Source organism: Homo sapiens, chromosome Y (assembly GCF_000001405.40).
Source record: "Homo sapiens chromosome Y, GRCh38.p14 Primary Assembly".
NCBI lineage: Eukaryota > Metazoa > Chordata > Mammalia > Primates > Hominidae > Homo > Homo sapiens.
In genome coordinates, this window is record NC_000024.10 from 11,373,641 (window position 1) to 11,386,681 (window position 13,041).

A 13,041-nucleotide genomic window follows, 5' to 3' on the forward strand; every position below is an offset into this window, starting at 1 on the left:
GACAGTCATCAGATTCTCCAAGGTCAACATGAAATAAAAAAATAAGAAATGCAGCTAAAGTGAAGGGCAGGTCACATACAAAGGGAATCCCATCAGGCTAACAGTGGAACTATAAGATACTCTACAATCCAAAAGAAATTGGGGACCTATATTCAGCATTCTTTTTTTTTTTTTCGAGACGGAATCTCACTCTGTTGCCCAGGCTGGAGTGCACTGTTGCTATCTCGGCTCACTGCAACCTCCACTTCCCGGGTTCAAGCAATTCTTCTCCCTCAGCCTCCCAAGTAGCTGGGACTACAGGTGCGCACCACAACACCCGGCAATTTTTTGTAATTTTAGTAGAGACAGGATTTCACCATATTGGCCAGGGTGGTCTCAAATTACTGACCTCATGATCTGCCCACCTCGGCCTCTCAAAGTGCTGGGATTACATGTGTGAGCCACCATGCCCGGCCTTCAGCATTCTTAAAAAAAAAAAAAAAACTTGGCCGGGTGTGGTGGCTCATGCTTGTAATCCCGCACTTTGGGAAGCTGAGGGGGGCGGAACACAAGTTCAAGAGATCAAGACCATCCTGGCCAACATGGTGAAACCTCATCTCTAATAAAAATACAAAAGTTAGCTGGGCATGGTGGTGCGTGTCTGTAGTCCCAGCTACTCAGGAGGCTGAGGCAAGAGAATCACTTAACCCAGGAGGTGGAGGTTGCAGTGAGCTGAGATAGCACCACTGCACTCCAGCCTGGTTACAGAGAAAGACTCTGTCGCAAAAAAAAAAAAAAAAAAAAAAAATTCAACCAAGAACTTAATATCCAGCCAAACTAAACTTCATATGTGAAGGAGAAGTAAGATCTTTTCCAGACAAACAAATGCTAACGGAATCTGTTACCACCAGACATGCCTTAAAAGAGGTCCTTAAGGGAGTGCTAAGCATGGAAGTGAAAGACTGTTAATGGCCACCACAAAAATACATTTAAGTACATAGACCATTGACATTGTAAAGTAACAACACAATCAAGTCTGCATAATAACCAGCTAACAACATAATGGCAGGACCAAAGCTATAAATACCAATATTAGCTGTGAATGTAAACAGTATAAATGCCCCGCTTAAAACTCGCAGAATGGCAAGTTGGGTAAAGAAGCAAAGCCCGACCGTATCTGTTGTCAAGAGACCTAGCTCATATGCAACAATACCCATTGGTTTGAAGTAAAAGGATGGAAAAAAATCTACCAAGCAAATGCAAAACAAAACAGGGTAAGCATTGTTATTCTAATTCAGACAAAATAGACTTTAAACCAACAACAATCAAAAAGACAAAGAAGGGCACTACTTAATGATAAAGGGTTCAATTCAACAAGAAGACTTAACAGTCTGAAAGATAAATGTGCTCAAAACTGGAGCATTCACATTTGTAAAACAAGTTCATAGAGACCTATAGAGAGACTTAGATAACCACAGAATAATAGTGAGAGACTTCAACATCTCACTGACGGTACTAGACAGATCATAGAGACAGAAAATGGACAAAGATATTCAGGACTTGAAGTCAACACTTGGCTAAATGGACATAACAGCCTTCTACAGAACACTCCACCCAACAACAACAGAATATATCTTCCTCTCATCTGTACATAGCATATATTGTAAAATTGATCACACTATCAGTCTAAAATTATTTTCAATAAATTAAAAGAAACCCCTGAAATCATGCCAACCACACTCTTGAACCGCTCAGTGTAACAAAAATAGAAGTCAATACTAAGAAGAACTCTCAAAACCATACAATTACATGGAAATTAAACAACCTGTGCCTGAATGACTTTTGGGTAAACAATGAAATTAAGGCAGAAACCAATAAATTCTTTGAAACTAATTAAAACAAAGATATAACATTCTAGGCTCTCTAAGAGACAGACAAAGCAGTGTTAAGGGAAAAGTTTATCGTGCTAAATGCCCATATTGAAAAGTTAGAAGGATCTTAAATTAACAACCTAATATCATACCTAAAGGAAATAGAAAAACAAGAGGAATCCAACCCAAAGCTAGCAGAAGAAAATAACCAAAATCAGAGCAGAATGGAATGAAATTGAGTCATGAAAAGCCATACAAAAGATAAATGAACTAAAAGCTGGTTCTTCGAAAGAATAAATAAATTTGATAGGTCACTAGCTAGACAAATAAGGAAAAAAAAAAGAGAAGATACAAAAAATACAATCAGAAGTGGTAAAGTGGACATTACCGCCAACCACACAGAAATACAAAAAACTGTCAGAGACTATGATGAACATGTTTATGCTAACAAAGTAGGACACCTACAACAAATGGGTAAGTTTCTGGAAACATACAACCTCCCAAGATTGAACTAGGAAGAAATTGAAATCCTGAACAAACCAAAAATGAGTTTCGAAACTGAATGAGTAATAAAAAGTCTCTGAGCCAAAAAAAAAAAAAAAAAAAAAAACAGCAAGCCCAGGACCCAACAGATTCACAGACAAATTCTACCGGAAGTGTAAAGAAGAGCTGGTACCAATGCTACTGAAATTATTCCAAAAAATGGAGGAGGAAGGATCCCTCCCTAACTCATTTTATGAGGTCAGCATCATTCAGATATGAAAACCTGGCAGAGACACAACAAAAAAGAAAACTTCAGGACAGTCATCCCTGATGATCATAGATGCAAATATCCTCAACAAAATATAAGCCAACTGAATCCAGCAGCATGTCAAAAAGCTAGTCCACTATGATCAAGTAAGCTTTATCCCTGGGATGCAAGTTTGGTTCAAGATATGCAAATCAATAAACGTGATTCATCATAAAAAAGGACTAAAAATAAAAATATCCCTTCATGATATAAACCCTCAACAAATGAGTTACTGAAGGAGCATACCTCAAAATAATTGGAGCCATTTATGACAAACCCACAGCCAACTTCACACTGAATGGGAAAAAGCTGGAATATTCCCTTTAAGAACTGGAACAAGACAAGGATGCCCACTCTCACTACTCCTATTCAACATAGTGCTGGATGTCCTAGCCAGTGCAATAGGCAAGAGAAAGAAACACAGACATCTAAATAGGAAGAATGGAAGTCAAACCATGCCTCTTCATAGGTGAAACACTTTTATACCAAGGAAACCCCATAGTAGCCTCTCGAGAGCTCCCAGATCTGATAAATGACTTCAGCAAAGTTTCAGGATACAAAAATCAATGTACAAAAATCTGTAACATTTCTATACATTAACATCATCCAAGCTGACAGCCAAATAAAGAATGCAATCCCATTCCCAGTAGCCACAAAAAAAACTACAAAATACCTTGGAATACAGCTAATCAGGGAGGTGAAAAATCTCTAAAATGAAAATTACAAACAAGTGCTCAAAGAATCAGAGACAACAGAAACAAAAGGAAAACATTCCATGATCACAGATAGGAAGAAGCAATATTGTTAAAATGGCCATACTGTCTAAGGCTATTTACAGAGTCAATGCTATTCCTATCATACCACCAATGACATTTTTCACAGGATTAAAAAAAAAGCATTCTAAAATTCATTTGGAGCCAAAAAAAAAAAAAGAAAAAAAAAAGCCCAAATTACCAAAGCAATCCTAAGCAAAAAGAACAAAGTCGAAAGCATCACACTACCTGACTTCAAACTGTACTACAATGCTACAGTAAGCAAAACAGCATGGTTATGCTCATCAAAAGAAATAATCAGCAGAGTAAAAAGACAACCTATAGAGTGGGAGAAAATCTTTACAAACTATGCATCCAGCAAAGTACTAATATCCAGAATCTATAAGGAACTCAAAAACAGACATAGACCAGTGGAACAGGTTACAGAATGCAGAAATAAAGCTGTACACCTATAGCCATCTACTCTTCAACAAACTTGACAAAAACAAGCAATGGGGAAGGGAATCCCTACTTGGAAATTGTGCTGGGATAACTGGCTAGCCGTATGCAGAAAATTGAAATGACTCCATACGTTTCACCGTTTACAAAAATCAACTCAAGGTAGATTAAAGACTTAAATGTAAAACCCAAAACTATAAAAACCCTGGAAGATAGCCTAAGAAATACCATTCTCCATACAGGCCATTCTGGACATATCCTAGGAAATTTCAATTCTGGAAAACACTTTATGACAAAGATGTCAAAAGCAATTGCAACAAAAACAAAAATTCACAATTGCGACCTAATTAAACTAAAGGGCTTCTGCACAGCAAAAGAAATAATCAACAAACAACCTATGGAATGGAAGAAAATATTTTCAAACCATGCATTCGACAAAAGTCTAATATCCAGAATACAAAAAGAACTTAGAAAAATCAACAAGCAAAAATCTAACAACCCCATTAAATGGGCAAAGGACAGGACAAGACACTTCTCAAAAGAAGACAAACACATAGTCAACAAGTACACGGAAAAGTATTCAACATCACTAATCTTTAGAGAAATGCAAAACAAAAGTGCAATGAAATACAACCTCACAGGAGGCAGAATGGCTATTAATAAAAAGTCAAAAAGTAATAGATGCTGGCGAGCTTGGGGAGCTACTCCCAGGTCTTTGGAAGGCTGAGGCATGAGAATTGCTTGAACCTGGGAGGCAGAGGTGGCAGTGAGCTGAGATTGGGCCATTGCGCTCTAACCTGGGCAACAGAGCAAGACTCCATCCCCAAAAAAAAATACAGAAAGAGAAAGAAAGAAAAACCCACAGCCAACATTATACTGAATGGGAAAAGTTGAAAGCATTCTCCCGAGAACTGGAACAAGACAAGGATGCCCACTTTCACCACTTCTATTCAACATAGTACTGGAAGTCCTAGCCAGAGCAATCAGACAAGAGAAAGAAATAAAGGGCATCTAAATCAGCAAAGAGGAAGTCAAACTGTTGCTGTTCCTGATGATATGATCATATAATGAGAAAACCCTAAAGACTCATCCAAAAAGCTCCTAGATCTGATAAATGAATTCAGTAACGTTTCAGGATACAACATCAATGTACACAAATCAGTAGAACTGGTATACACCGAGGGTGACTGAGCTGAGAATTAAATCAAGATCTCAACCCCTTTTACAGCAGCTACAAAAAAACCAAACCAAACGAACAAACAATACCAAAGAAAAAACCCAAGCAAACCAATTTAGGAATATACCTAACCAAGGAGGTGAAAGATCTCTACAGTGGAAACTACAAAACACTGCAGAAAGAAATCATAGATGACACTAACAAATAGAAACACATTACATGCTCATGGATAGGTAGAAAAAATATTGTGAAAATGACCATACTGCCAAAAGCAATCTACATCATCATTCTTCCCCGAACTAGAAAAAGCAATCCTAAAATTCATGTGGAGCCCAAAAATAGCCCGCATAACGAAAGCAAGACTAAGCAAAAAGAACAAATGTGGATGCATCACATTGCTTGACTTCAAGCTATGCTATAAGTCTATAGTCACCAAAGCAGCATAATACTGGTATAAAAATAGGCACATAGACTAATGGAACCGAATAGAGAACTGAGAAATAAAGCCAAATACTTAAGCCAACGGATCTTTAACAAAGGAACCAAAAACATAAAGTTGGGAAAGGATACCATATTCAACAAATGGTGCTAGGATAATTGGCAAGCCATATGTAGAAGAATGAAACTGCATCCTCATCTCTCACCTTATACAAAAATCAACTCAAGATGGATCAAAGACTTAAATCTAACACCTAAAACAGTAAAAATTCTAGAAGGTAACATTGGAATTACCCTTCTAGACATTTGCTTAGGCAAAGACTTCATGACCAAGAACCCAAAAGCAAAGGCAACAAAAACAAAGATAAATAAATGGGACTTCATTAAACTAAGAATCTTCTACACAGCAAAAGAAATAATCAGCAGAGTAAAAACACAACCTATAGAGTGGGAGAAAATCTTTACAAACTATGCATCCAACAAAGTACTAATATCCAGAACCCATAAGGAACTCAAACAAATCAGCAAGAAAAAAACCAAATTATCCTATCAAAAAGTGTGCTAAGGACATGAATAGACACTTCCCAAAAGAAGATATAAATGGCCAAGAAACATGAAAAAATCCTCAATATCACTAATTATCAGGGAAATGCAAACAAAACCACTTAAATAATTAAAAGTTGATCTACAATTTGATCTAGCAATCCCACAACTGGGTATCTACCCAGAGGAAAAGAAGTCATTATATTAAAAAAACGCTTGCACACACGTTTACTGCAGCACAATTTGCAGTTGTGAAATATATGGAAATAGCTCAAATGCCCATCAATCAATGAACACATAGAGAAAATATGGTGTATATATATATATATATATATATATATATATATATATATATATGTGTGTGTGTGTGTGTGTACATACACACATATATGTGTATATATGTATATATATATATATGTGTATGTGTGTATATATATACACACACAGACCATAGAGGGAATACTACTCAGCTATAAAAAGGAATGAAATAATGGCATTCACAGCAGCCTGGAAAGAGTCGGACACCATTATTCTAAGTGAAGTAATTCAGGAATGAAAAAATCAAACATTGTATGTTCTGACTTATAAGTGGGAGTTATGCTATGAGGATGCAAAAGCATAAGAATGATACAATGGACTTTGGGGACTTAGGGGGAAGAGTAGGAGGAGGGTGAGGGATAAAAGACTACACCTTGGGTGCAGTGTACACTGCTTTGGTGATGGGTGCACCAAAATCTCAGAAATTACCACTAAAAATATTTTCCATGTAAACAAACACCACCTGTTCCTTAAAAACTAATGAAAAAAATATAAAAGACATGAGATCAACCTAAATGCCCATCAATGGTGAACTGGATAAAGAAAATGTTGCACATATACACCATAGAATAATACACAAAGTGAATTAACGGAGGAACAGGAAACCAAATATCCCATATTCTCACCTATAAGTGGGAGCTAAACACTGAGTACACATGGACAGAAAGAAGGGAACAATCGTCACTAGGTGAATTTGAGGGTGGAGGGTGGAAGGAGGGGGAGAATAGAAAAACTACCTATTGGGTATTATACTTACAACCTGGGTGACAAAATAATCTCCTTACCAAACCCCTGTGACATGCAATTTATCCATATAACAAGCCTGGTCATGTACCCCTTGAGCCAAAATAAAAATTGGAGAAGAAAAAAACTCCTAAGAGTTGTCACTTTGGGTAGAGTTATGGGCATTATGATTTGAAGGCATAGTTTAAGGTCATTCCTCCTTTATTTATAAGTTCTAATTTTTAAAATAAAAGTGCATTTGACTATTTTATCATATACATTAATTTAAAAATTCACTGGATTTTATAGTAACTATGTAATGGATGAACTTTGCTATGAATGTCATTGGAATGGATAAGCAGAGACAAAAGTTGATGAATTAAGAAATGAAAAGGAGTTAGGATCTAGAGACAGTAGTTATAGACTTATTCTGAGGAATTCAAACATAAGACAAATGGATGGTAGATAAAGATGGATGGGGTATTGGATATACGGCAAGAGTTTTTGTTTGCTTGCTTTCTTCAAAATGGGAGAGTTTATATTTATACACCTATGTCTATATAAAATGTTTCTCAAATATATATATAAATACACATACATATATATGAAATGTGCAACTGTATTTACATATAGCTATGAGGAAGAGGCCATTAGATAGATTAAAACATTCAGATATGTTATAATACAGATGAAAAGGAATAAATTGATCACTTGAATTTTCTTGATGATAAACATTTAGGTGCTATGAATGTTTGTTAAAAAGATTTCGTGCAATTTGGGACATGCTCTGCTTTTAATCAACTGCTTTCCAAGGATTTTAACACTGTGAAATGAATTTTAATAGAGCTTTTCTATACAATATTCTGAATATTTTAACAGTTTTAACCAAGCATCCTTAATTGAATATTTCCGTAAGAAAAAATGAGATAGAAATTACCCTAATAGAATTGCCCATTGCCAGGGAAATTTCATAATGAAGTGGGAAAAAACAGCAGCTGCACTTGCCTCCATAAGGCATGGACCTAAAGCCATTCTGAAACAAACCACCTTCAAATGCCTCAAAGCCTGAAACAGAAAACAGTCACATTTGATACATTTACAATGGCCAAAAATAAAATTATTTTAACAAATGTTGGACTATAAAGTCTTTTTTCATAAGAAGCTTTCACTAAACAAAATCTCATTTCAACAGATTGTCCCACAGGACTTTGAACCCTATTATATTTTATATGTCATCATAGGTTGGATTATAAACAATTTCATCTTTTATAAAATATTATTGTATTTTAATTATTAAAAGATCAATTTTACTGTGATTAAATAGCTAATGCTACCTTCCTGAACTTTCCTAATACATAGTATAATAATAGTGTCATATTAGTGTTTTCCCATTAACTTTTTGATATGAACTCTTTGATTAACTTAATAAGTATAAATACAATACTAACATGCCAAAGAAAATAACTTAAAAACTGCATAATTCATTTTAAAAGGGAGAACTTTTCAATTTTCTCCTTGGTTCATACTTTCTACTGGAGAATATAATCTCATTAGCTATAATTATTTATGCTCTTGAGCTATTTCTATTAAACCACATTTGCCACATTTATTTGAGTGGCTGTCATATTCATGAATAGTCATCTTCTTATAGATGGGATTTATGATCCCTAGAATGTAATATTTTAAGAAATGCTTTAAAAGATTAGATTTTACAATAATGCAAAGATAATCAGGAACATAATCCTGTAGAGAAAACGTCATAAAAAATAACTGAAATCCTTAATCACCCTAAAAAAAGAAAAAGAATTGTATAAGGTTTTTCTTATAAAACCTTTGTTTGTTTGTTTTGTTTTGTTTTTTGAGACGGAGTCTCACTCTGTCCCCCAGGCTGGACTGCAGTGGCACTATCTCAGTTCACTGCAACCTCTGTCACTCAGGTTCAAGTGATTCTCTTGCCTCAGCCTCCCGAGTAGCTGGGATTACCAGGTAAATGCCACCATACCCGGCTAATTTTTGTAGATTACAGACATGAGACATCATGCCCGGCCTTTTTTTCTTTATCTTAGGTTTGTTTACAGACTCCACTTGGAACAGGTAAATAAAATTTTTGCTTCTTTTTCTTTCTCACCATCCTCTAATATTTGAAATAATCTTACTCGATTTGTAATTGTAAATCTACCTGTGGATCGAGTCCAAACCCAGCTCGTATTAGAATAATGTTAAGGGCAATGCTTCTTAAAATTGAAGATCATGCGTTAGGAACATGGATATGTTCACTGATGAATGGAACATTCCTAATTGTAAAACCAGCCACTAACATCCCTTAAAAGGAAGAAAATAAACATACATGACAGTTCATTTTTCTGAGAAAGAAAACAGAAATGTTTACTTTATTTTCTAATGCACTATGTCTCTCATTATTTTGGTAAAGGGCACGTTACAAGCAAGTAGAGAAGGCAGCATGAATAAAGGAATGGTGATAAGAAACAATACACCAAAATGGGGTTCAACAAGTAATTTAGTGTTGCTGGAACATACAGGGCAAGGAAAGGAGGGAGGAGAATTAGTTTGGTGGGCCAGATCATAGAAAGGTCTCCCCCCACTTTGGCAAAGTAAGGCACCATTGGAAGGTTTTAGGCAGGAAGTAACATAATGAGTCTTGTGATTTTTATATGAGGGTCTTGGTGAATTAGTTATGGATAAAACTGGAGACAGAGACCAAATTGAAGGCTCTACCACAGTCCACGCAAAAGTTGGAAGCAAATAGCCTAAGCTAGAGCAAAAGAGGAAGTTTGGAGAGGAGGAAAATGATTCAATAAATACTTAGAAGGTGCTGCAAGAAAACTGTGGATACAGAAGTGACAGCAGAGATAAGATGTAGAGATTATCTGTAATGACATTGTACTGAATATATATTTATTTTTGGGGACAGGGTCTCATGCTGTTGCTCAAGGTGAGTGCAGTGATGCAAACATGGCTCACTGTAGGCTTAATCTCCTGAGCTCAAGTGATCCTCTTGCCTTAGCCTCCTGAGTAGCTGAGACCCAGAAAAATTTTTAATATTTTGTAAAAACAAGGTCTGCTATGTTGCCCAGGCTGGTTTTGAACTCCTGGGCTCAGGTGATCCTCCTGCCTTGGCTTCCCAAAGTGCTGGGATTATGGGCATGAGCCACCATGCCTGGCCCACTGTACTGAATATTTAGATATATTTGAATACAGTAAGGTCTCACTTAACATCGTCGATAGGTGATTGGAAATGGCAACTTAGAGTAAATTGCTATATAACAAAACCAATTTTAGCATAGGCTAAATGGTATAAACAAGAGTCAATTTCCTACAGTATATTTCTGGTCACAAAACATCATCAAACTTCTAAATAAAGATCCAAAACACTTCTAGTATTAAACAATGAAATAAATGTGAGCTCTACATACATTTTACAAAGTTTTATAAAAACAAATAAGATAATTATTTACTTATTTTTTGGTGAATCCACGAGTGATGGTGGTTATAGCAGTGAATGTTAAAATCAAAGGATAAATGTTTACAAAGTGAAAATTGTAAGGAGCTCCTCCTCCCACTATGCAGTTCAAAAACAAACACAAATATGGTAGGCTGGCTGAGAGTTTTCATATCACGTTGTTTATTGTCTTGCATTTGTATGGCTATCATATACTTAACAAAATTTTATTTTACAATAATTTATATTAATTCATTTATTCATTGTACAATCCACTAGTTCAGGGTCATTGTACAATCCACTAGAATACTAGTTCAGGGTCAAAGGTGACTGAAACTTAATCCAAAAAAATCAAGGAGGGACTCCCTTCCTAACACATTCTATGAATCTAGTATCACAATTATACCCAAATCAGGCAAAGCCATAAACACACACACACACACACACACACACACACACACACACACACACACAACTGGTCAATATCCCTGATGAACATAGATGCAAAAATTCTCAACTAGCAAAATGAATTCTATAGTACATCAAAAAGATAATATAGTTAGGTGGGTTTTACTCCAGAAATACAAGGATGGTTTAACATGTGAATCATTCTTCCATAAAGACATACACACACACATGTTCATTGCGGCACTATTCACAATAAAAAGACATGGAATCAACTTAAATGACTAAATAAAGAAAATGTGGTACATATACACCATGGAATACTATGCAGTCATAAAAAAGAATGGCATCATGTTCTTTGTAGCAACATGGATAGAGCTGAACACCATTATCCTAAGTGAAATAACTCAGAAACAGAAAACTCAAATATCACGTTTTCACTTATACGTGGGAGCTAAACAATGGGTACATATGGACATAAAGATAGAAATAATAGACACTGGGGAGTCCAAAAGGAGAGAGGGTTGGAGGGTTAAGGTTGAAAAATTACCTATTGGGTATAGTATTCACTGTTTGGTGATGGGTTCACTAGAGCCCAAATCTCACCATTGTGCAATATATCCATGTACCAAACCTGCACATGTACTCCGTGAATCTAAAATTTTTAAAGATTCTATTAAACAATAAAGCAACAGGAATAATGTACTAAGGATATTAAATTTATTTTTAAAATAAATTTTGGATAAAACTTGTGTGTGTATATATGTAGACAGAGAGAGAAATAAATGCCCCTATAAAGGAGCTGTACACATACACACACACACAGTAAATACACATATGAAGAAACTATATAAAACATACTATATTGAAATATTTCTGAATTATAACTAATTCAACAAGAAAATGTTCAAAATTTGCATATAGTCAATAATAAAGAAAAGAGAGCTAATTATATACTTACCAAGAAAAGGTGGAAGTGGAGGCACTAAAGGTATTCTAAAGAGTTGTAAAATTTTTCCCCCAATAATGGCACTATAAAAAATAATTAACAATCCAGATAAATTTCCACCAGGGAGAGCTTCAGAGCCTAAGATTGCTAAGGTCATACACCATATCACAAACAGTGTAACTCCTGAAATACAAAAAAGTGTACAGCTATATATCTACATACACATAGATGTATACAAAAAAAGGATCAATTCTCTTTTATCATATATACTAATAGCCAGTTCTATAAAATGATACAGGGTATAGATCAACATTGCTTACTAGTTTGGTGAAAGAGATACCTGCTTAACATATACTCCAAATAACCTGTCAATTTATGAATTAGGTTTTAAACAAAGTGTTTTCACTTTAAAAATATTTAAAAACTATATGTGGGCCAGGTGCAGTGGCTCACACCTTAATCCCAGCACTTTGGGAGGCTGAGGTGAGCTGGATCACATGAGGTCAGGAGTTTGAGACCAGCCTGGCCAACACAGTGAAATCCCGTCTCTACTAAAAATGCAAAACTTAGCCAGGTGTGGTGATGCGTGTCTGTAATCCCAGCTACATGGTAGGCTGAGTCAGGAGAATTGCTTGAACCCAGGAGGTGGAGGTTGCAGTGAGCCAAGATTGTGCCACTGCACTCCAGCCTGGGTGACAGAGTGAGACTCACTCTCAATAAAAAAATAAAAAATAAATTAAAAAAACCTATATGTGAACTCTTGAAAATGTTAACTTATAATATATGATAGTTAAAAACTTCATGGCAATATGATGAGATTTACTTCATTTTATATTTTAAAATAGCTTTTTTATCAGGATGGAAAATAAGAGGATGATTGGTTGTGATAAGAATTCACGACCTTATTGAAGATCACAGTGTCAAGGTGCCAAATCTTTTAACAGGAACCTGCTAAATCTTTTTATTGAAAGGATAATTCAACTGATATTTGGCATAAATGTATTATAGGAGGTATTGGCTGGAAGAAATGAACCTAGATTTTGTGGGAATAAATATAAAATATCTTAGATTATGTGTAGAAGGTAGAGGGAGATTAAGATGAGTAGATATAAGTTACTAGACATCTTGTTTCTGGCAACTAGGTGCTACTCACTGAGGAATCCATAGGTTTCTGTAA

The 13,041-nt window shown here is 35.5% G+C and overlaps 1 pseudogene; it reads right to left on the reverse strand.

The window, feature by feature from the left end:
- SLC9B1P1 (solute carrier family 9 member B1 pseudogene 1) overlaps positions 1 to 12,055 on the reverse strand; it is a 45,306-nt pseudogene extending 33,251 nt beyond the window's left edge.